Source organism: Homo sapiens, chromosome 1 (genome assembly GCF_000001405.40).
Source record: "Homo sapiens chromosome 1, GRCh38.p14 Primary Assembly".
In the NCBI taxonomy this organism is placed as follows: domain Eukaryota; kingdom Metazoa; phylum Chordata; class Mammalia; order Primates; family Hominidae; genus Homo; species Homo sapiens.
In genome coordinates this window covers 50729768-50751483 of record NC_000001.11, presented here as the reverse complement: position 1 = coordinate 50751483, position 21716 = coordinate 50729768, and the positions used below count along the sequence as shown (strand labels likewise).

Below are 21716 nucleotides of genomic sequence, written 5' to 3'. Positions count from 1 at the left end.
TAGTCCCAGCTACATGGGAGGCTGAGGCAGGAGAATTGCTTGAACCTGGGAGGCGGAGGAGGCAGAGGTTACAGTAAGCCGAGATCATGCTGCTGCACTCCAGCATGGGCCACAAAGTGAGACTCCATCTCAAAACAAACAAACAATCAAACAAATAGAAATGCTGAATAGTGCTGAATGGCCCTAGCACTGCTCTTGATCGTAGGAGGGAAATACTTAGTATTTAGTATTTCATTATCAACTATTGTAGGTTCTTCAGCAATGCCCTCTATCAAGTTTACAAAGCTGCCTTATATTCCTACTTTGCTCTAAGTTTAGCTCTTTTTTTTTTTTAACATGAAATGGGTGTTGAATATTGTCAAATGCTTTTTCTCATTTACTATACTAATATGGGGATGTACAGCTTGTTTAACAGCTTATAATCCATCACTGTACATCCCCATATTAGTATAGTAAATAAGAAAAAGCATTTGACAATATTCAACACCCATTTCATGTTAAAAAAAAAAAGAGCTAAACTTGGAGCTATTTGTTTGTACGCATATAAACATGGATAAATCTGGCCAGGTGCGGTGGCTCATGCCTATAATCCCAGCATTTTGAGAGGCCAAGGCAGGCAGATCACTTGTGGTCAGGAGTTTGAGACCAGCCTGGCCTGCATGGTTAACCCCCGTCTCTACTAAAAATACAAAAATTAGCTGAGTGTGGTGGGATGTGCCTGTAGTCCAGCTACTCGGGAGGCAGAGGCAGGAAAATCACTTGAACCCAGGAGGTGGAGGTTACAGTGGGCCGAGATTGCGCCACTGCACTCCAGCCTGGGCAACAGAGAGATACTGTTTCAAATGAAAAAAAAAAAAAAAAGAAAAGAAAAAGGATAAATCTCGAAAACATTACTCCAAACAAAGGAACCCAGACAAAAGTAATCTTTAGGGTGAGAAGGAGGATCAGTGTGAGTAGGGGCAGGCTTTTGATCTAAGAATGTATGAGGAAAGTTTTTGTGCTATGGGAAATGTTCTTATCTTGATTGTATGGTGGTTATAACACTGTATATATTTGGCTAAACTCATGAGTGAGTTTTATTACATATAAATCATAATCCAATTAAGTTAATGTTTTAAATTCTTATTTATCATGCTAATCTTCTCTGTATTGTTCCAAATTTAGTATATATGCTGCCAAAGCAAGCACTTAAGTTAATTTTTTAAATACAAAAGTATGCTATTGGATTCAGTGATTTGTTCTTGATGACATCTGCATGTCTTCACAATTTTTCAAGGAACGTGGCCTGGGGTGGGATACTGCAGTGGCAGTGCCATCTTGTGGTAAGATCTTTGGAGTTAGGTAGACACAAATATGAATTCTGGCTCTGAAACTTGCTACATTCCAGTACTTTGTTCCCCTGAATTATTTTGGATTTCCTAAAAACAGTAACTCCTGTGTTTTGAGAACCTATACTGCCCAGGTACTATGCTAGGCACTTATGTGTATGTTATCTCATTAATTGTAATAATAATAATACAACTCAAAATAACATTTTTTGAGTTCCTTAGTATGTATTAGGCACTCTGCAAAACATTTTTCGTGAATTATGTCACTTAATACAGCAACCCAACGAAGTGTTTGTTCTACGGTTGTCATTTCCACTTTGCAGAAGAAGAGATTGAGGCTGAGAATCGTGTTTTTTTTTTTTTCTCTGAGACAGGTTCTCACTCTGTCATCCAGGATAGAGTGCAGTGGCAACGATCATGGCTCACTGCAGCCTCCATCTCCTGGTCTCAAGCAGTACTCCTGCCTCAGTCTCCTGAATAGCTGGGACTACATGCATGTACCACCATGCCTAGCTAATTATTAAAAATTTTTTGCAGTGGTGGTGTCTTGCTGTGTTGCTCATGTTGGTCTCAAACTTCTGAGCTCAAGCTGTCCTTCTACCTTGGCTTCCCAAAGTGCTGGGATTATAGGCATGAGCCACCTTGCAATAGAGAGTAATTTTTAAAATATGAGGAACTCAGGTTGCTGTCATGATTCCAGCTTTTTTTCTATTCCTCTCTTTCTGTGGAACAAAAGGCTATTTGTCTCATGTGTTACCCAGGCTTTCTGCAAGAGTAACTGGGACTTTAAGTTAAAGTCCCTTCTTGTTTTTCCTTTAAGAAACTTCTTTTAAGTCATGAGGGCTCAGAGTGTTTTCAAGAGTGTAAGAAGGTGGTGTCAGGTCTTGGAGATTGGTTTCTGAGCACTGGACAGACTTGCAAATGCATAAGCTCAGTTCCAGACAGGTACAGCTCTAGAAATATCAACCTCAGCCACAAGCAAAAAGGCAATGTTTATATGTGTTTGGTATAAAAACTGTGACTTATTTTTCTACTCTTTCCATAAACAGAATGATTCTTTGTCAGCAGTGACATTTTTGAAGGCCAAGATTGATTAAAGTTTTTGCTTCCACAACTATAGTGTTGAACCAGAATTATTTTTATGATAGTTAATCACTATCCAAAGTGCTCAGATAGGGATCTTTTTAAGGAAAGTTAAAAAGTATCATTGAGACCATGAATAATTGCATTGTAGCATTGCTTACTTAGGTAGTTGTGTTCCCATAGAACTTGTGTATCTTAAGTTCTCCCCCCACTCTTCTTTTTCTTCATCAGCATGGAATTATTTTTCTTCTTTTAATATGTAATATAATCAGTCTTTTTGGTATTCATGTACTTAACTGTAAATGGAATTGAATTATATTTTAATCTGAAACTGTAGACTAGCAGCAACCTAACATAAGCAGATATATGAAAGATAAGTACATTCTGATTCACTGATCTTTAAAATAGTGTAGTGCCAGAAATCAGCTGATTAATTTATAAGTAGATTTGATTCCTGAAAAATAATTGTGGGGCACAGGGAAAATTGTGATTTCTCACTGTTTCTCATTAGCATCATGTCTATTTTTGCTTTTTTACCTTTCAGTCATTTTTCTTTTTTTCTTTTCTTTTTTTTTTTTTTTGAGACAGAGTTTCACTCTTGTCATCTAGGTGCAGTGGTGCAATCTTGGCTCACTGCAGCCTCCGCCTCCCAGGTTCAAGTGATTCTCCTGCCTCAGCCTCCTGAGTAGCTGGGATTACAGGCATGTGCCACCACGCCTGGCTAATTTTTTGTATTTTTAGTAGAGACAGGGTTTCACCATGTTGGGCAGGCTGGTCTCGAACTCCTGACCTCAGTTGATCTGCCTGCCTTGGCCTCCCAAAGTGCTGGGATTACAGGCATGAGCCACCACGCCTGGCATTTTTCTTTACTGTATAGAGTATCCTTCCTTATTTTGGTTTGTCTGTCCTTTGCAGACCAACTATACTTCAAGTTTAATTTAAGTCTCATTTCTCTCACAAAGCTTTCTCTATCTGATACAACACATTTGTATTAGTCTGTTCTGGCAGTGCTATAAAAAAATACCTGAGACTGGGTAATTTATAAAGAAAAAAGGTTTAATTGGTTCGCAGTTCTGCAGGCTATACAGGAAGCATGGCAACATCTACTTCTGGGGAGGCTTCAGGGAGCCTTTACTCGTGGTGGAAGGCAAAGCAGGAGCAGACATCGTCACATTGCCAGCGCAGGAGGAAGAGAGAGAGGGGAGGTGGCACACACTTTTAAACACCCAGATCTCACGAGAACTGTATCACAAGAACAGCACCAGAGGGGGAAATCTGTCACACATGATTCAGTCACCTCCTACCAGACCCCACTGCCAACACTCAGGATTATAATTTAACATGATTGGGGATGCAAATCCAAACCATATTATTTCACCCGTGGCCCCTCCCAAATCTCATGTCCTTCTCACATTGCAAAATACAATCATCCCTTCTCAGCAGTCCTCCAAAGTCTTACTTCATTCTGGCACTAACTCAGAAGTCCAAAGTCTCATCTGAGACAAGGCTGGTCCCTTTTACCTGTGAGCCTGTAAAAGCAAAAGCAGGTTACTTACTCCTAAGATAAAATGGGGGTATAGGCATTGAGTAAATACTCCCATTCCAAAAGGGAGAAAATGGCCAAAAGAATGATGCTATAGGCCTTGTGCAAGTTCAAAACCCAGCAGGATAGTCATTAAATCTTAATGTTCCAAATAATCTCCTTTGACTCCATGTCTCATATCCAGGGTACAATGATGCAAGGGGTGGGCTCCCAAAGCCTTGGGCAGCTACACCCCTGTGGCTTGGAAGTGTTCAGCTTCCATGGCTGCTCTCAAGGGCAGGTGTTGAGTGCCTCCAGCTTGTCCAGGTGCAGGGTATTTAGTGGATCTATCATTCCAGGGTCTGGATGATGGTGGCCTTCTTCTCACAGCTCCACCAGGCAGTGCCCCAATGGAGACTGTGTGTGTGGGGGTCCAACCTCACATTTCTTCTCTGCACTGTCCTAGTAGAGATTCTCCATGAGGGCTTCTGCCTGGACATCCAGGCTTTTCCATATAGCATCTGAAATCTATGCGGGGGCCCCCATGCCTCAACTCTTGCATTCTGTGCACCTGCAGGCTTAACACCACATGGAAGCAGCGGCCCAAACAGTACCCAGGTTCCTTTGAGCCATGGCTGGATACAGAGCAGCCAGGATGCAGGGAGCAGTTTCCTGCGTCTGTGCAGGGTGGTGAGGCCCTGGGTCTCACCCACCTCGTAGGCCTCTGGGCCAGTGATGGCAGGGGCTGCTGTGAAGGTCTGTGAAATGCCTGTGAGGCCTTTTCTTCATTGTTTTAGCTATCAGCACTTGGCTTTTCTTTACTTATGTAAACTTCTGCAGCCCGCTTGAATTTCTCCCCTGAAAATTGGCTTTTCTTTTCTACCACATAACTGGGCTACAAATTTTTCAAACTTTTACACTCTGCTTCCCTTTAAAATATAAATTCATTGGCCGGGCTCGGTGGCTCATGCCTGTAATCCCAGCACTTTGGGAGGCTGAGGCAGACGGATCACCTGAGGTTGGGAGTTTGAGACCAGCCTGACCAACATGAGAAACCCCATCTCTACTAAAAATACAAAATTAGCCAGGTGTGGTGGTGCATGCCTGTAATCCCAGCTACTTGGGAGGCTGAGGCAGGAGAATTGCTTGACCCCAGGAGGCAGAGGTTGTGGTGAGCAGAGATCACGCCGTCGCACTCCAGCCTGGGCAACAAGAGTGAAACTCTGTCTCAAAAAAAAAAAAAAAAAAAAAAAAAAAATATATATATATATATATATATATATATATATATATATATATATATGTTCGTTTCAGGTCATTTCTTTGCTCACACATACGAGCGTAGGGTACTAGAAGCAGCCAGGCAACATCTTGAATGCTTTGTTCCTTAGAAATTTCTTCCTCCAGTTATCCTAAGTCATCATTCTCAACTTCAAAGTTCCACAGATCTCTAGGCAGGGGCACAATGCCACCAGGTTCTTTGCTAACACATAACAAAAGTGACTTTTGCTCCAGTTCCCAATAAGTTCCTTATTTCCATCTGAGCTCTCCTCAGCCTGGACTTCATTGTCCATATCACTGTCAGCATTTTGTTGACAACAAGTTGATAAGTCTCTAGGAAGTTCCTAATTTTCCCTCATCTTCTTGTCTTCTGAGCTCTCTGCACTCTTCCAGCCTCTGCCCATTACCCAGTTTCAGAGACGCTTCCACATTTTCAGGTGTCTTTATAGCAATGCCCCACTTTTCAGTAGCAATTCTCTCTGTTAGTTTGTTTTCACACTGCTATAAAAAATACCCGAGACTGGATAATTTGTAAAGAAAAAGAGTTTAATTGTCTCACTGTTCCATGGACTTTATAGGAAGCAAGGCAGCATCTGCTTCTAAGGAGGCCCAGGGAGCTTTTACTCATGGCAGAAGGCAAAGTGGGAGCAGGCCAGAGCAGGATGAAGAGAGAGGAAAGGTAGCACACACTTTTAAACAACCAGATCTCCTGAGAACCCTACCACAAGAACAGCATCAAAGAGGGAAATCAGCCCCCTATGATCCAGTCACCTCCCATCAGGCCTCACTTCCAACACTGGGAATTACAATTTGACATGAGATTTGAGCAGGGCCACAAATTCAAACCATATCAACATTTTTTTTCTTTTCTGAAATTCTTGTTGCTCTTCTCTTTAATACAGTTTAAATTGTCTCCTATATATTATTATCTATATATTAGCTTTATTATTTTTTGTTTTTAATTTTTTGAGATGGGGTTTTTCTCTTGTCACCCAGGCTGGAGTGCAGTGGCACGATCTCGGCTCACTGCAACCTCTGCCTCCCAGGTTCAAGTGATTCTCCTGCCTCAGCCTCTTGAGTAGCTGGGATTACAGGTGTGTGCCACCACGCTTGGCTAATTTTTTTGTATTTTTAATAGAGACAGGGTTTCAACAGAGTTTCACCATGTTGGTCAGACCAGTCTTGAACTCCTGGTCTCAGGTGATCTGCCCACCTTGGCCTCTCAAAGTGCTGGGATTACAGGCATGAGCAACCACACCCAGCCTAGCTTTATTTTTTAGTTTCATTAATGTATGCTATCTTTTGTCATCCTCAGATCCTAAGGCAAGATAAGATAAATAATATTATTTCCCATTTTATAGATACAGAAATATTCATCAGACAAATGTCATTGACTGTACACTGTATGCCACATATTAGTGTTAGCTCTGGATATGGACAAATGTTAACTGTGTTATTTTGTTAGTAATATTTGATCTCTTCTTATTTATACAGGAGAGATTAAACAGATTCTAGAAAATGAACTTCAGATACCTGTGTCCAAAATGCTGTTAAAAGGCTGGAAGACGGGAGATGTGGAAGACAGTGTGAGTTTCTTAATTGCATAGAAATAAAAGAAAATTAAGTTATGCCATTGATTAAATGATATGTAAAAATTGGTTTTAATTAATGTTGTTACATATGGCAGTAGTAGATTTGGCAATAGTAATTTAGTTTAAGGAATCAGCAAGTAGTGTTTTCTAAGCTAAAATATTTCATGATAAACCAATAACAATTGTAAATGAGTAGATTTGTAAATGAAAACAGTATATGGCATGTTTTTCCTATTTCTAACTTTTAAAGGAGTTTGGCCCTTTTTTTGAGAGGCTTTACCTTTTTCTCAAACCTCCTAGAGTATCAGTGAATGCCCTGGAATAATAATTTTCTGAGCAATTACATATTGGTCCGAAAGAAGTCACATGCAGCGTATACATTTATGTCAAGTATTGATTATGGAACAAAGATAATAGGAAATTTTTTAAACTTGGAGAATTTAAATAAGGATGTTGTTTTCCTTGTTGACTTGGATAGTGGCAGGTGCATGGAATGAATTATATTTTAAGAATTTGCAGAGAGTATTGCAATTTTAAGGAAATAGTTGCTATTCTTAGGAACCCAGTAGCAACCTCAGATATAACATTTTTTACACACTTTTTTTTTTTGAGACAGTCTCGCTCTGTTGCCCATGCTGGAGTGTAGTGGCATGATCTCGCCTCACTGCAAACTCTGCCTCCTGGATTCAAGCAATTCTCCTGCTTCTGCCTCCCAGGTAGCTGGGACTACAGGTGCGTGCCACCACGCCCAGCTAATTTTTGCATTTTTAGTAGAGATGAGGTTTCACCATGTTGGCCAGGCTGGTCTCGAACTCCTGACCTTGTGATCCACCTGCCTCGGCCTTCCAAAGTGCTGGGATTATAGGTGTGAGCTGCTGCACCTGGGCTTACACACTTTTTTTTCTTCCAGAGAGAGTGGAGAAAGAAGGAAAAAAAATGAGTTAGTTCTAGAGTTTTAGATGTTTGAGGTGGAAATAATTATTGAATGTTTTCACATTAGTTACTGGGTCATTTTAATGGCCAGGCATAAACTTAGAATTTTCAACTTTTGGCTGGGCGCAGTGGCTCACGCCTATAATCCTATCACTTTGGGAGGCCGAGGCAAGTGAATCACCTGAGGTCAGGGGTTCGAGACCAGCCTGGCCAACATGGTAAAACCCCATCTCTACTAAAAATGCAAAAATTAGCTGGGCGTGGTGGCACGCCCCTGTAATCCAAGCTACTCGGGAGGCTGAGGTGGGAGAATTGCTTGAACCCACAAGGTGGAGGCTGCCATGAGCCGAGATCGTGCCACTGTACTCTAGCCTGGGCGACAGAGTGAGACCCTATCTCAAAAAAAAGATAAATAAAAATAAATAAAAATATAAAAACTTCAACTTTTGGTTCAGTTCTTCTTCGTGAATGGCTTCTTGCAGTCATTGTGTTTATAAGTACTTATATATGAGTTCATTTGAAATTTGGAGATGTTCTGAGTATTTCAGTGAGATATTTACAGGAAGTTTGGGTTGGCAAGATACAGATAAGTTTAGATTAGGTGGCAGCAAACTTTTTCTGTACAGAGTCAGATAGTAAATATTTTAGGCTTTGTGTGCCATACAGCTACTTAATCACTGCTCTCTTAGTGGGAAAGCAGCCGTAGACAATATGTGAAACATCGAGCATAATTATGTTTCAGTATGTTTATGGATGCAGACATTTGAATTTTATGTAATTTCACATGCCATAAAATATTCTTTTGATTTATTTTCCAACCTTTAAAAAAAGTGAAAACCATTCTTAACTCACAGGCCATACAAAAACAGGCAGCAGGCTGGGTTTGACCCACAGGCCATAGTTTGCTATCCCCCGCTGCTGCTGATGCATGGATTAAAACTTTTTAAAAGTGCTGACTGAGTAAATCAACAACCTTGACAGAAAGAAAACACCAAAATGAGTTCGCTTTTGTAGTTATTTATTCATTCATTCATTGAGAAACCTGTGGGTATGAATCAGTCAGCTGGGTGGAGTGGCTCACCCTTGTAATCCCAACACTTGGGGAAGCTGAGTCAGGCAGATCACTTGAGGCCAGGAGTCTGAGATCAGCCTGGACAACATGACAAAACCCTGTCTCTACTAAAAATATAAAAATTAGCTGGGCGTGGTGGTGCACACCTGTATTCCCAGCTGCTCAGGAGGCTGAGGCACAAGAATCGCTTGAACCTGGGAGGTGGAGGTTGCAGTGAGCTGAGATTTTGCCACTACACTCCATCCTGGGCGACAGAGCAAGAGTCTCTCTCCCCCGCCACACCCCCCCTCCCAAATTTGAACACAGCCTTGGTTACAAATACTTCAATTTACTTCTTTCTTCTTCTTTTTTCTTTTTATGAGATGAGTTCTCACCCTGTTGCTTAGGCTGGAGTGCAGCGGTACAATCATGGCTCATTGCTGCCTTGACCTCCTAGACTCAAGTGATGCTTCTACCTCAGCCTTCTAAGTAGCTAGGACTATAGATGTGCACCACGCCTGGCTAATTTTTTTTTTTTTTAAATTTTTGTAGAGACAGGGTCTTGCTATGTTTTCCAGACTGATCCTGAATTCCTGGACTCATGCAGTCCTCCTGCCTTGGCCTCCCAAAGTGCTGAGATTACAGGCATGAGCCATGGCACCCAGCCTCAGTTACTTATTTCTATGTACTCTTCACTAGGTGATTTCTGCTATTCCCATGACATTAATTTTCTGATTGCCTCCGAATTTATATTTTCAGCTCATACTTTTTTGAATTCACATATCCAAACTGGTAATTGACTTTTGTACTTGTATATCTTATTGGTGTCTCAAACTTAACGTGTTTAAAATGGAACTCTTGATTTTCCCTCCTATCCCATATCTCTACCAATCTTCCCCCAAGAAGTAGCACAATGATTATAGCCACTGCTGAATCCAAAACTGGCCATCAGTCTTTTCTCATTTCTTACAGCACCTAATCCTTTGTTATATTCTGTAGATTCGATCTTTAAAATGTATCTCAACCATGGCCACTTTTTAGTATTTCAGTTGCAACTGCTTAATTCAGGCCATGAGGCCATGAGCATCTCTTGTCTGGAGCAATATGGTAACTTCATTATTGTTGTCTCAGCTTCCTTTCAGTGTTTCTTCCAGTGCATTCTCCACACAGCAGTCAGAGTGATCTTTTAAAAACATAAATTGAATTATATCACTCTCCCATTAAAACATAGCTTTTTTATTACATTTCAAATAAAATTCAGACTACTCACAATAGTTTAAAAGTTATTGTATTACCCCATTCTCGCCTCTACAACATCATCTTGAGCCTTTCTTACTCTCACTTTCCATGTTCCAGCCACAGAAACCTTTTTTGAAATCTTTTAATAGGCTCAAGCTCTTTACATCTTTGTCTGACAGATGCTATTCAACTGCCTGGAATGCTTTACCTCCTGTTCTTCACATGGGTGTCTCTTTTTCATCATTCAAGTCTCAGCTTAAGGTTACCTTCTCCAACAGGCTTCTGTATCTAATTTGGTCCCATCCCAGCATTCTCCATCACACCAGTATTAATAGAGGGACCATATCTGTTTCTTTCATCATCGTATATTTAAAGCCTGGCATAACAGACCTGAAATAAATGTTTATGGGATGAATGCATGAGTAAATAACTTAAGGAAAGTATCCATTTTATTTAATCTTTCCATATGTGGTTTGATGGGAAAATTTAATAGAAAATCTTTGGATAGTGGCATGGAAAAAGAACAATAATGATCAAATGGCAAGCATTTACCAATAATTCACAAAGTAAAACAATGAAAGATAAAAAGAGAAAAATAATTTGTGTGTGTGTGTGTGTGTTGTTTGCATGTTAACTCTATAGAGATAACTCATCAATTTCAAAAGGATATCACATATTTGACATAAAGTTTCAGGATGTCCATGTCTCCTGGTAAATTGTAAAGTTATAGGTAATTGCCAAATGCAATGTTTTTTTCAAACTATGGACCATAAACCATTAGTGGATTGGGAAGTTAATCGAGTGGGTTATAGTCAGCAGCATTAAACAAAAACAAACAAACAAAACAGAAGAAGAAAGAAATGAAAAAAGAGAAATAGAATACAATAGGAAACGCCAGAGTGTATTTCAAATAATAAGGGTAATTATGTATTTCTTTTCATTTAACACATAACTAATATGAGTCAAGAGTAAGTCTCAATACCCTTGGATTAAGACTGCACACTTAATAAGCTGGGTCCTCTCATGGAGGGGTTAAGAATAAGTTCCATATGTTCCATGCTTGTGTAAGATTGCCCCTCCCCAGGAAGGAATATATTCTTTCTCTATATATTCTCATGGTTTGCTTCCTTCACCTTTTAAGTTTTTGCTCAAATGTCACATTCTCCAAGTGAGACCCACCTTGATGGCCCTGTTTAAAATTGCTAAGCTCAACCCCACATTCTTTATCCCCCCTTCCCTGCTTTATTTTTAGTCAAAAAATTGTCACTTTCAACATTCAACTATATAGGGTTACTTATTTATTCCTACTCAAATGTAAGCTCCCTAAGATCAGAGAATTTTATTTTAGGCTGTTCTGTTCAATGCTATATTCTCAGTGGCTAGAGTAGTCCTGATACAGAGTAGGTGGCTCAAAAAATATCTGTTGATAAGTGCATTTCCTGGCTTATGATGTAAAGGTATACAATGTATTTCTTAATGTGTATTGGTTTCAAGAAACATTTGAAGTACTTCAGCAAGTTTTTACCTTCAGGTTAGGAGTTTGAAATGTATGTGAATTTTCTGGCAAAGAAATTTGGTGAATGAAATTTTCTGTGCTTATCAAGATAGTAGGTCATATGTAGTACAATAGTAATTTATTCATTTCAAAGAGTGAGAGCTTTAACAAAAAAGATATCTGGAGTAAAAGATATATAGGTAACACCAGAGACCTCATCCAAGTTACCTAACCTCTCAGGCTATATAGCTTCCCATCTATAAAATCGTTGGCTTGAGGTGCTCTCAGTGATCTTTTCAAGGTCTAATGATCTCTGAAAACCTATATTGCCAATTTTTGCCATGATGACCCTGAAACGAAGTATATATTATTTGCAAGGATATACTTCTTCAGTGAAAAAGTAATTGAGTCCCAACTGTGTTCTTATCTGTTTGTGTTGCTTCATGAGCTAAAGAGTTTATATATTAACATTCAGGTTTATGCTAGTTCATTTTATATATGTGTATGTGTGTATACACATATATACACACATACACATACACTCACATGTATACACATACACATAAACACACATATATGTATATGTATGTACGTGTACACATGTACACATGTATATGCATGTACGTGTACACATGTACACATGTATATGCATGTACGTGTACACATGTACATATGTATATGTATGCACATGTACACATGCACATATATAGACACACATATATATGTATGCATATACATATATAAAATAAACTAGCATAAACCTGAATGTTGTATACATACAATATATATAGGTATACAACCATATTTCCCCTATATATGTATATATTATATATATGGGCAATAAGGTTACTTGGATTCAGTAGTTCTTTTGCATTACCCTATTTAGGAAATTATCAAAAGATAAAAAAAACTACAAAATTAACAATTTTTCAAGAATTACAGGAAAAATCAATAATGAATAATCAACATCAACATTCATTTTTTGCTGTGTTTTTTCTTTTTCAGACGGTCCTAAAATCTCTACACTTGCCAAAAAACAACAGTCTTTATGTCCTTACACCAGATTTGCCACCACCTTCATCATCTAGTCATGCTGGGTAAGTTGTTTATATTTCCTGGGAACATGAAATGAAAAACTCAGTTGTTAAAATTGCTTTAAGTTGTATATAAACCTCAAAATTAAATCAAATACAAGTCTTGTTGAAATTGACCTTACCAACTACTATGAAGTATATCAGGTTTGAAACAGTTTGTTCTGGATAGTTTGTTTTAACGGTATAGTCCTCTTATACCACTTTAAAGTCTTTAGCATAACTCCAGTATAATTTTTAAAAATTGTCAAAATGGTACTTCTCTGACTGAAGGGAAAGGATCCAAGTTGGAAGGAAGAGAAAGTATAAATGGAGTTCCAATCTCTCTCATTGCTAAAGAAAGCATACCTTTGAGGAAAATTCATTGAGCTCTGCAGAGTAAAGCTTGAAAAACACTGATATAATTTTTTTTTTTTTTTTTTTTTGCGACGGAGTTTCACTCTTGTTGCCCAGACTGAGGTGCAATGGTACGATCTTGGCTCACCGCAACCTCTGCCTCCCGGATTCAAGTGATTCCCCTCCCTCAGCCTCCTGAGTAGCTGGGATTATAGGCATGTGCCACCATGCCCAGCTAATTTTGCATTTTTAGTAGAGATGGGGTTTCTCCATGTTGGTCGGGCTGGTCTTGAACTCCTGACCTTAGGTGATCTGCCCACCTCGGCCTCCCAAAGTGCTGGGATTACAGGCATGAGCCACTGTGCCTGGTGATGTAAATTTTTTATTAAGATTTTCTCTCTGGAATAGAGGGTCTCATTGTTTTTTCAGTTTTCACAGTGGAACTCAATACATTTATACAATGATCACATGATTTTAATTTTTAATTATACATTACGTTTTTTATTGTTTAATGAAGCAAACTGACCTATAGTGGATGATTATGCTAGTGATAATAATTTTTATGAGGAATCTTTTCATACAGTATTATTCCAGAACTATGTTTATTTTTAGATTTTCTGTTGTTGATACAAATTTTTCTCTTTTAAATACAACAACTTGGTGATTTTTTTGTGGTAGGGAGACTTGTGTCCCTAAATTTTGAACATTGTCAAGCTTTCCCCCCACCACTTGCCAAATGTCTTGATTTTTAGGTAGATAGTAGCAAAAATAAAATTAAATTTGGCTTCACTGAAGTAGAAATCACTGAACTGAAAAAGTTAAATCTTGTGTAGTTGTATTGGATGGTCTGTTAATAGTTGGTTTTGGGTTAAGAATTTAAAGAGTTCTTGGATTGCTCTTTATTTTCTATGTTTAGACCGTATGTTAATGGGAAGTGGAATTTGCACACAGTTACAAAATTACAAACTACAAACTTATGGTCCATGTGTTTATAATAATGTTGATGTGAACCTCAGATGAAATTAAGTTAAATAGTTATAGGTATGGTTCTGTATCTAGTCATGTAGAACATTATTTTGTAGGTTAGTTAACAAAGTGTAATCACTGTCATAAAATAGGTAATCCACATAATTAAAAGCAGACAGGAGATGTCATTGTTTATAATCTGTTGCTTTCCAGTAGCGTGATTAAATGGATTTATCAAAATGTCTACCTGGGCTAATGGAAACGTTCTTCATTGCCATGTAGCTGACCTTAGTTTGATTGCCAGTCACTCACTCCCTAGGCAAGCAGGAGTCTACAGTGCTGCTGAAATGCAGTGTTTATTGGAGAATGAGTACTTTATCTAGCATTAAAATATACTTCTCTATTTGGCTTTGTGGATTTTTACCAAGTTATAATGATTCTTTTTTTGTATTGGAAGAATAAGAGAGAAAAGTTCAAAGGTGAACAAAAAACATAGTGGGAGGAGGGACAAATGGAGACTCCTGCTAATGTAAAAGTTATGTTAATGTACTTTTTATTAACACATAACTTAAAAGCTAGGGTTTACTTCTTTTAGTATGTTTATTCAATGTATCTTTCTATAAAACTAGAGATTTTTAAAATAGCATATATATTGAAAGCTGATTTTGTGGGAGACAATTTAAAAAACAAAACAAAATCCATGCAGAACCTTAAAAGTTGATGGTAATAATTATTTTTAAGTTGTGAGTTTTATTTTGTGACTCATCAAATAAAAATATTTTGACATCTTTTTTTTTTCTTTCTTTCTTTTTTTGGAGACGGAGTTTCGCTCTTGTTGCCCAGGCTGGAGTACAATGGCATGATCTCAGCTCACTGCAACCTCCGCCTCCTGGGTTCAAGCAATTCTCCTGTCTCAGCCTCCTGAGTAGCTGGGATTACAGGTGCCCACCACTACGCCTGGCTAATTTTTGGTATTTTTAGTAGAGATGGGGTTTCACCATGTTGGACAGGCTGGTCTCAAACCCCTGAACTCAGGTGATCCTCCCACCTCGGCCTCCCAAAGTGCTGGGATTACAGGCGTGAGCCACTGTGCCCAGCCACTTTACATCTTAACTATATAATAGAATCAAACAAACAATATCCTAGTAAGTTATATAGCATATCATATTATCAAAAATGGTAGACAGATAAACTTGCTTTGTACTAGACTTCATAATGAATCAAACTGATTTGCTTTTGCAGAATTTTGTTACAATTGATGGATTCTTAGAAATCTTATTTGTAATTTGTAACCTAATTTATAATCTAAAAAGGAGAAAAAAGATAATTATGATTCTAAGTGTTATATTTGGGAATTGGCAAATGAATATAACAACTGTGTAATTGGTAGAGTAAAATGGGAAGGTTTATGTATATATTATTGCATTGGCGTATATTACCTCACTTATAATTCTTAAGAATTTGCATGAAATTTCAGTGTGTGAATTCACTCTTAGTTACAGTATATTATTAATCATTTAATATAATGTAGATATAAAATAACATGTTGGCCGGGCACCGTAGCTTATGCCTATAACACCAGCACTTTGGGAGGCTGAGGTGGGAGGATCACTTGACAATAGGAGTTTGAGACCAGCCTGGAGAACATAGCGAGACTGTATCTCTACAAACAATTTTTATGAAATAGCCGGGTGTTGTGGCACGTACCTGTAGTCCTAGCTGCTCAGGAGGCTGAGGCAGGAGAATTGCTCGAGCCCAAGAGTTTGAGGTTACAGTGAGCTGAGATCATGCCACTGTACTTTAAGCCTGGGCAGTAGAGCAAGACCCTGTCTCTAAATAAAATAAATAAAATAAAATAGTTATTAAATTGTTCACTGACAAACCGTCTCACTCTTAAGTTTTGTTAAAGAAGTATACATACAGAAAACTGTATCTCAAACCATGTCCTGTTAAAAAACAAGAAAACAAAAAAACTTCTTAACTTGATTTTACTGCCACTAGGGGGTGCCTGGTAATTGAGTCTTTGTATTAATATAATTTCTTTCTAGGGGAAGAAATGGTATAAACTAAGAGCAGCAAAATTACCATATGAGTGCCTATAATTGTAAACTGAATGTTTTTAAAGTAAATTATGTGTTTCAGAAAACAGAATTTCAAGCTTTCTGAGAATCGAAGAGCAAACTCTTAATCATAATCTTTGTAACAGTTGAAAAGCATTTTAAGCCCTTTTAAAAAAGAAATCAGATTTCACTAATTAATTGAAAGGGTGAAGCAGTACTCCAGTGGCCTCTGTGATACAACTATAAATTCTATTATAAATCACAGTAAAATTAGGAAGGAGAAAACAAACTGTTAATTATACTGTTTCATATTATTACAGGAAAGATTCAGTTCATCAATGACTTATTGATTACTTAATAAAAACAAGCTGTGTCCTCAGGTAGCCTGTAACCTATTTATTAAGATGATTAGGCCTTTTCTTAAGTTATTCCTGTATAGAAAATATTCTTAGATACCAACTCATTCCTGGTGTTCTTTTTGATTGCTTCACCCAGATTCCTTCCTAAACTCTTCATTTCTTCACCTGCTCTAAATGTTGGTATTCTGGAGAGTTCTCTTCTCAGCAGTCTTTCTTATTGTACCTTCTCCCTGATATCTACCCTCAACTCTTCAATTTCTAAATATGTATAGATAACTTACAAATCTCTATTTAGCAACTCACATGTCCCAGTTGCCTGTGGAGTTTTTCATTTGTGTGTGTCCTATCTGTAATTCAAAATCATATGTCTCTGTACTACTACATGTGTTTTTCTTTTTCTTTTTTTTTTTTTTTGAGATGGAGTCTCGCTCTATCGCCCAGGCTGGAGTGCAGTGGCGTGATCTCGGCTCAATGCAAGCTCCGCCCCCTGGGTTCACGCCATTCTCCTGCCTCAGCCTCCCGAGTAGCTGGGAATACAGGCGCCCGCCAATACGCCCGGCTAATTTTTTGTATATTTAGTAGAGACAGGGTTTCACCATGTTAGCCAGGATGGTCTCAATCTCCTGACCTCGTGATCCACCCGCCTCGGCTTCCCAAAGTGCTGGGATTACAGGCTTGAGCCATCTTGGCCGGCCTACATGTGTTTTTCGTTTCAAATGTCCAACAGTATAAAATACTGAAGTGTATTCTAACCAAGATGCTGATTATTAAAAAAGCCATTGGGTTGGGAATATAAGTAATTAATAACTTTGTTAAAATCATTTTTGGTAGAATGGTGAGAATGAGAACTCGATTATAGTAGATTTTCATGGATAAACAAGAAATGAAGAAATGATTACTGTTATTTTCAGAAAACTTGATGGTGAAGGAAGGAGAAGTTGAGGGAGAAGTCAAGGTAAGATACTTGAGAAGTATTGGAAGCACAAGGAGTAAGAGACAGCAAGTAGGAAAAATGTAAACAAGTGAAACCAAAATAGAAAATGTGGCCAAAGACTGAGTGCAGTGGCTCACGCCTGTATTCCCAACACTTTGAGAGGCCGAGGTGAGTGGATTGCTTGAGGTCAAGAGTTTGAGACCAGGCTGGCCAATATGGTGAAACCCCATCTCTACTAAAAATACAAAAATTATCTGGGTGTGGTGGTGCACGCCTGTAACCCGAGCTACTCAGGAGGCTGAGGCAGGAGAATTGCTTGAACCCTGGAGGTGGAAGTTGCAGTGAGTTGAGATTGCAACACTGCACTCAAGCCTGGGCAGCAGAGTGGGTATGGAACTGTTTTAGTTTGCTAGGGCTGCTATAACAAAGTACCATAGACTGGGTAGCTTAAACAATAGGCATTTATTTCTCCTTGTTCTTGAGTTTGGAAATCTCCAAGATGAAGGTTCCAGTAGAGTCAGTTCCTGTTGAAAGCTCTCTTCCTGGTTTACAAGCCCAACTTCCTGCCATGTCCTCATATGGCAGAGAGAGAGAGGAGAGAGAGAGAACTCTGGTTTCCCTTCATCTTTTTATAAGGACATCAATCCCATCAGATTAGGACCCAGCCCTTATGACCTCCTTTAACCTGAATTGTATCCTGAAGATGCTGTCTCCAAGTACAGTCACAGTGGGTGTTAGAGAGTCAACATATAAATTCTAGGGGGACACAATTCAGTTCATAGCAGAGAGATACGGGTGGAGCCCAGGGATTAAGTGTTGAAATGACATTAGGTAACAGGTTTAGAGACAGTAGGAAAGGTGTAATAATAGAAGATTGGAGACAGATGGAGAACATTTCTGGGATCTAGATTTCAGTACTGTTACAGTAATGGTTGATGACAGATTCCAAATTATAGATAACATCAAAATAGAAAATAGGTAATAGTTATGAGAATAAGGATGTTAAGGAAGTGTGAAGCTAAACTGATAAGTGACAGTGACACAGTAATTAACATTTATGAAGCCAGGTTTTTTGGCAAGCCTGTTATATATGTTATCTTATTAGGTCATCATAATAAATCACAAGTAGATACGATTACCTGTTTTGCAGATAGAGAAACTGAGTTGGGGTAGAGGTGAGGTGACGACACAGAGATAGTGGTTATTGGGAACTACAGTTGAAGAAGGCTAGAAATACTGATTAACTTTAGTCTGTATTTTAAAAACATAAATCTAAATATAAGTGTTATAAATAAAGAGAATAAACACTAAAAAAAAAAAGAAGTAAATAACCTGCATACATCTAGAAGAAAGAAAGGAATGAGGAACTCAGTCAATACATCAGCAAACAGCAATTTGAAACTGAAACAGAAACACAGGAAAACAAGTATAATAGAAAACAGAAAATATGATGGCAAAAAGAAAAATAAAATTTATCAGAATTCTCCATGAACAAGAAAGTACTAAACTCTCCTATTAAAGACAGAAACTCTCAAATAGAATTTACAAAAATAGCCATATGTTGTTTACCAAAGAGACATCTTTTAAAGAAATGACAGAGAAAATAAAGGAAAAGAAAGTGACCCCAGGGAAATATTAACTGTAAGAATATACTATAGTAATAATATTTATATCACATAAAATTGAATTTAAGGCAAATAGCATTGAAAGACAATTTGCCAAGAAGATATGACAATTGCAGGCTTGTATGCACAAGTCTACAAAATTGGACAGAATTACAAGAAGATATAGACCAACTCCACATTGAACACAAAATCTTTCAGAAAATAATGTATTTAAGGCCAGGTGTGGTGGCTCATGCCTATAATCCCAGCACTTTGGGAGGCCAAGGTGGGCAGATCACGAGATCAGGAGATTGAGACCATCCTGGCTAACATGGTGAAACCCCGTCTCTACTAAAAAATATAAAAAATTAGCCAGGCGTGGTGGCGGGCGCCTGTAGTCCCAGCTACTCGGGAGGCTGAGGTGGGAGAATGGCGTGAACCTGGGAGGCAGAGGTTGCAGTGAGCTGAGATCGGGCTATTGCACTCCAGCCTGGGCGACAGAGCCAGACTCTGTCTCAAAATAAATAAATAAATAAATAATAATAATAATGTATTTAGCAATACATCTTTGTCAGCTATAGAAGATTTTAATAACCCCGTAAAGCACTCATGGAATACTTAGAAAACTGACCATGTAGTAGAACACAAAGCCAGTATCAAAGAATCACTATCATATTGACTGCATTGTCTGGTCATTATGCAATAAAATTATAAGTAAAGTAATAATAAAAACATATATCCCAAATCCCCCATGCATTTGGATCCTACAGATAATTTACTTCAAAACAATTTATGGGTAAAAATGAAGTCATAATAGCAAACATCAGATACTTAGAAGTGAACATAAATGAGATTGCTAGGTACTAAAACTGTGGATACAGCCAAAATGATACTTAGAAATTTGTAGTCTTAAGTCCACCAATTAGAAGACAAGTGTTTTGAGGCCGGGCGCGGTGGCTCATGCCTGTAATCCCAGCACTTTGGGATGCCAAGGCGGGCGGATCACGAGGTCAGGAGATCGAGACCATCCTGGCTAACATAGTGAAACCCCGTCTCTACTAAAAATACAAAAATTAGCCAGGTGTGGTGGCAGGTGCCTGTAGTCCCAGCTACTGGGGAGGCTGAGGCAGGAGAATGGCGTGAACCTGGGAGGCAGAGCTTGCAGTGAGCCAAGACTGTACCACTACACTCCAGCCCGGGGACAGAGTGAGACTCCATCTCAAAAAAAAAAAAAAAAGAGAAAAGATAAAACAGAAAGACAAGTGTTTTGAGAGCCCCCAGCTAAATTGGACTTCTAGTACCTCAGCAGTTAGCTACCTTACCTTAACAGAAAATCAAGGGGAACTGGACAGGAGTGTTTATAGTGTGCCTTTCATGGGATGCTTCTTTCACATGGTGGACAGCCTAAAGCCTAGTTGTCCAACCTGTGACCAGAGGGTCCCTCACACAGGAAACTTGTTTATACTGGTAGATGTCTTTGTGGCTCTTGTCTAGCTCGTGTCCAATTTTTGCCTGCGTGACCATCACTCTGGCTCTAGGAGCCTGACCTTTTGTTCTCTCCAGTATCTCTGGGAAAGCCCAGCTTGGGGCAGTTCCTAGTTCTTCAGATGGAAGGTGCAAATTCAATATAACACAATAGGAAGCAAGTTCAGAGATATTTTTACTTTCAGTTCCTAGGCAAGAAGGACATGAGTTGGGAGGGTAGTCCTCTGTCCCTGTGTCATGTGAAGCAGGAATGAAGAGTTGGGCAGAGAGAGAGTGAAAAGCGTGTAGCAACTAGCAATATATATAAGGGAAGTTCAAGAGCAAATACCTGAATGGTCCTGATAAAGGAAGCTGCAAGAAAATGTGGAGCCTAGTCTGTTAGGCAGGAGGGATGCCTCTAAGTTCTTATTTCTGACCACTGGCCTGAGCCATTTGGGTATAGTATAGAACTGGAAACTCTGTCAAGAGTAGCGGAGCCCTGCTTCTGGCATGAGAAAATTAAATGTTCAAAATGAATGTGGAAGCAACATAAAATTAAAGAATTCACTACAATAAGAAAGATAGAAAATAATTGAATTGTGTGTTTAACTTAAGAAAATAGAATAATAACCGCAGAGTAAGTGCACTGAAAATAGAAAGAAAGATTAAAGAGCAGAAATTAATGACAGAGGCAAGCAACAAGAATAAGAACTATTTACTTGAAAAGTCAAACCAGGAAAAAATGAGAGTAAGCATAAACAAAATACTAGGTATGAAAAAAAGGGACTTAAAACTACAGATTAAGAAGAGATTTTTAAAGTAATAAGATAATTATTAAATAATACTAAGCAAATAATAAATTAATAAATTATTTCAAAATAAACAATGAAATATCCATGTCTTTATGCTAATAAAATCCAAAATTTAGGTGAAATGGAAAATTTTATATAAAATATGAAGTACTAAAATGAGTACAAAAAGAGATGACCTGAAAAAATGATAATTATTAAATAAACTGAATTAGTTGTCAAAAATTCCGCATGCTGCTCCAACCCCCTTCACCCTCCAGAGGATTTTTCATAAATTTTCATGGAACAAATTATCACAATCTGTTTTTTTTATTTTGGAGAAGGAGTCTCTCTCTGTCACCAGGCTGGAGTGCAATGGCTCAATCTGGGCTCACTGCAACCTCTGCCTCCTGGGTTCAAGCAACTCTCCTGCGTCAGCCTCCTGAGTAGCTGGGACTACAGGCACGTGCCACCACGCCCAGCTAATTTTTGTATTTTTAGTAGAGATGAGGTTTCACCATGTTGGCCAGGATGGTCTCAATCTCTTGACTTCGTGATCCACCTGCCTCAGCCTCCCAAAGTGCTGGGAT

At 38.6% G+C, this 21716-nt stretch overlaps 1 protein-coding gene and 1 non-coding gene across 6 annotated transcripts in view; one reads left to right on the top strand and one right to left on the bottom strand.

Annotated features, from left to right (window-relative positions):
• The window catches only part of FAF1 (Fas associated factor 1), a 523240-nt gene that overhangs the window by 208784 nt on the left and 292740 nt on the right, over nucleotides 1–21716 (top strand). For all 5 annotated transcript variants that reach the window (NM_007051.3, XM_047442745.1, XM_047442743.1 and 2 more), the window contains 2 exons: nucleotides 6709–6800; nucleotides 12530–12621. In NM_007051.3, coding sequence (NP_008982.1) covers nucleotides 6709–6800; nucleotides 12530–12621 — 184 coding nt within the window. The remainder of the gene's footprint in view (nucleotides 1–6708; nucleotides 6801–12529; nucleotides 12622–21716) is intronic.
• Nucleotides 1086–1188, bottom strand: LOC124904727 (U6 spliceosomal RNA). Its single transcript, XR_007067274.1, has one exon. It is a non-coding gene; the product is annotated as a U6 spliceosomal RNA (small nuclear RNA).